The sequence below is a fragment of the Homo sapiens genome, chromosome 15 (genome assembly GCF_000001405.40).
Source record: "Homo sapiens chromosome 15, GRCh38.p14 Primary Assembly".
Lineage (NCBI taxonomy): Eukaryota > Metazoa > Chordata > Mammalia > Primates > Hominidae > Homo > Homo sapiens.
In genome coordinates this window covers 100,845,808-100,849,583 of record NC_000015.10, presented here as the reverse complement: position 1 = coordinate 100,849,583, position 3,776 = coordinate 100,845,808, and the positions used below count along the sequence as shown (strand labels likewise).

At 46.3% G+C, this 3,776-nt stretch overlaps 1 pseudogene; it reads left to right on the top strand.

The window, feature by feature from the left end:
- Positions 2,789-3,746, top strand: PHF5AP6 (PHF5A pseudogene 6; annotated as a pseudogene).

Here is a 3,776-nt window from a genome sequence, read left to right as displayed (position 1 = left end):
GCCCGCATCACAACGGCAAACACGCGCCACCCCCCAGTTACCCGGAGACACATGCGGGTAAATATGACCCCAGGAACTTGCTGAATACGAGTAACTGTGTTTCATTCCTCCTACCCGTCCGCTGTGGGTTTACTAGAGTTTGTCTTAGATGGCAAATAAGAAAGCTTTTTATTTTAAATGACAGTCAGGGCAAGAATCAGGTTGCTAATTTCCCTGAGACGCATGAGGGTGTAATGACACATCCAGGCTGGAAACCAAGAGTCATTTTCCTTGAAAGACTTAACTTGAAAGTCGGTCTGTACTAGCGAGTTCCAAGGCCCTGATGAAAAACAGAAAGCGGCAGGGAAAGGAGGAAGGAGGAGAGTGAGAGCTAAGTGGATGGCGTTCGGGACACGGCTCTCGTTGGAAGGCACAGACTCTCTGCAGCTCTGTGCGAAACGCTCCTTGCTGGTTGGAGTCCTGGCACCACCGGAATCACTGTGCTCAGATGTCCTTTCAGGGGCAGTGGGTGGCAGCGGCGGCCTTACTCAGGGGCTTCTGCCTGAGAAGGAAAAAGGTTGAGCCGCCTCCCCATCGATTTGTCCACCCCGTTTTCTTTTTTTCTTTTTCTTTTTTTCTTGAGACCGAGTCTCGCTCTGTCCCCCAGGCTGGAGCGCAGTGGTGCGATCTCGGCTCACTGCAAGCTCCGCCTCCCGGGTTCACGCCCTTCTCCTGCCTCAGCCTCCCGAGCAGCTGGGACTACAGGCGCCCGCCGCCACGCCCGGCTAATTTTTTGTATTTTTAGTGGAGACGGGGTTTCACCGTGTTAGCCAGGATGGTCTCGATCTCCTGACCTCGTGATCCGCCCGCCTCGGCCTCCCAAAGTGCTGGGAGTACAGGCGTGAGCCACCGCGCCCGGCCCACCACGTTTTCTTAATGACCTGATTTGGGACTGCAGACAAATGAGTCTGTGATTTTTCATGTGTTTGCGTAAAGGCTGAGTTTGAAGAGATTCCTTCATTTTTCCCCCTCCTTAGGTCTTTTTTTTTTCTTTTTTTTTTTTTGATATGGAGCTTCGTTCTTGTTGCCCAGGCTGGAGTGCAGTGGCTCGATCTCGGCTCACCGTAACCTCCACCTCCTGGGTTCAAGCCATTCTCCTGCCTCTGCCTCCTGAGTAGCTGGAATTACAGGCATGGGTCACCATGCCTGGCTAATTTTGTATTTTTAGTAGAGACAGGGTTTCTCCATGTTGGTCAGGCTGGTCTCGAACTCCCGACCTCAGGTGATCTGCCTGCCTCGGCCTCCCAAAGTACTGGGATTACAAGTGTGAGCCACCACGGCCAGCCTCCCCCTCCTTAGGTCTTTACGAGCACTAAAATTCTATAACTAGAATCCCATCTGAATTCAGTTTTCTATTTCTTCTGATGTTTTATTGTTTGCCACAGTAACTGTAAGGAAATACATAACATTTTGAATAGTTAATCATCAGGCAAATTAGTGTTGTTTGGAAGATTTGCCCACTTGGGCTGGCAAGGTTGCAGTAAAACTGGCACTGGTGGCCCTGCAAATCGGGTCTATCACTTTGGGAGAGTAATAACTTAGTGATATGTATAAAAATATTCCATACTATTTCACTAATATGGCCCCTTGGGAACTAATCCCAAGATAACTGAAGAAAGATACAGTATGTGTGAAAGTGTTCGTTACAGTGGATCATACAACGGAAAAGCTGGAAAGCACGTGTGTGTCAATAGGTGAACTGTATAGTATGACATCCAGCAATTAGTAATTATGTAAATGCTAGAAATGAGGGAGTTATCCACCAAACCACATTTTTGAAAGGTTAAACAACAAAATTATATCTACATTGTAATTATAATTATGTACGTATATGTCAGGTAGTATATGAAAATAGGGTGGAGTAGTGAAATTATGGGTACAATTGTTTTTATTTGTTGTTCTTTACACTTTTTTGCTTTAAAATATTTAAAAAATTACCAGCTTTGTGTCAGGGTTGGTTCAGGATTCTGTGCTGTTTAAGGCATGCATGAGAAGAGTTATTCTTTTTTAAGATACCCAGCAACAAGGTACATAAAAACAAAAACAAGCGAAGTAAGTCAGACTGTGTCACTGACTATAAACAAGTCAACCTGTTTTTCCAATACATGATTCACTGGAAGTGAACACGTCAAAGTGGCACATAGGGCAGCTTTGGGTCAGCTGGAGCTGAGCGCCAACCCAGCACGGACCTTCCTCAGCTGTGTGGCTATTTGACACGAGCTTCAGTTTCCTCATCTGTGCAATGAGAAGATAGCATTCACCTGTGTAGGGCAGAGGTGGGATTGGAGATCCTGGGCCTGGTGAGTGTGGACTCTTAAGAAGAATAGCCTTTCTCTGAGAGGGATTGAAGATGTTTATTTTTCCCCCTTTATTATCTTTTGGAAAACATATTGATATGTGCACCAGACGGTATGAAACATGGGTTGCTATGAAGCTTCCTATCGGTGTCCCCTCATGAAGCAGGACCAGCAGTGACTTGACCTGTCCCTGTCCTGCTCGCCCCCAGGGACCAGCTCTCTCTTCAGTTTTAAAATAAGTTTAAAACCCCGAATGCCTGCATGTCTGAAACATATCAGAAGGCATGGCTAAGCAACTGAAATGTCAGTTCCTGGAACTGGAATGATTTGGAGACAACGAGAATGAAGAAACTATTTCTAAATGAGGCGAATTCATGAAAGGAAAGGGAATGATTTCTAAATGGAAAAAGATAGGTTTATGCACTGGGTTCAGAGTTATCTTAATAGGTAGCCCAGTGGCCAGTTTCATCGGGAGCGACAGCAAAACATCATCCTGATTTGATCTTTTGCTGCAAGCAGGCTGGTGGTTGCCATCAGAAGACTGTGTCAAAAATAGAAATGGCTCCCCAAAGATTGTCAATTTGGGGAGCTCTAAGACAGACGTCTTCCATGAATGCAAAAAATACAGCTTCAAGAAGAGGTAATTGGGTGGGGCTGAGTGGCTCATGCCTGTAATCCTAGCACTTTGGGAGGCCAAGGCAGGCGAATCACCTGAGATCAGGAGTTCCAGACCAGCCTGGCCAACATGTCGAAACCCCATCTCTACTAAAAATACAAAAATTAGCCGGGTGTGGTGGCACATGCCTATAATCTCAGCTACTCAGGAGGCTGAGGCATGAGAATCATTTGAACCTGGGAGGCAGAGGCTTCAATGAGCTGAGATTGTGCCACTGCACTCCAGCCCAAGTGGCAAAGCGAGACTCTGTCTCAAAAAAAAAAAAAAAAAAAAAAGATGATTGGTGGGTGTCCCCTTCCTCTTCCACATCAAGCTGCTGCAGCTGCCAGAAAATAAGCCTTCTGCCACCAGCAGAAAGGGAGCAGAGCCCAGGGCATCACCAGGAGCGCCTGGTAATATACCAGCACCTTGCCACCCCTCCTCTCCCTTCACCCAGACACATGAGAGAAATGGAAAAGGATTCTTCACAGAGCACTCGGGCACACTGTATCAGAGAAAAACTGATAGATTCGTTCATGGTTTTTCTCGAATTCCAGAAGCAAAGCTCTGTTCTCCATATTGATATGTTCTCCCTAAACTTAGGTCTTCTAAAAAGAAATAATATTTCAGTCTGCTGCTTGAGGAGTTGACAGTGAAGCTAACCCAGTGAAAAACGTGTTCTTGCAGCAACTCTGGTGGCAGTTGTCCTTGAGGGGGCTTTGGTGTGTGGAAGCTATCAAAACAAGAAATGTGCACATTTAGTCTTGTAACACTTACCTGGCGGT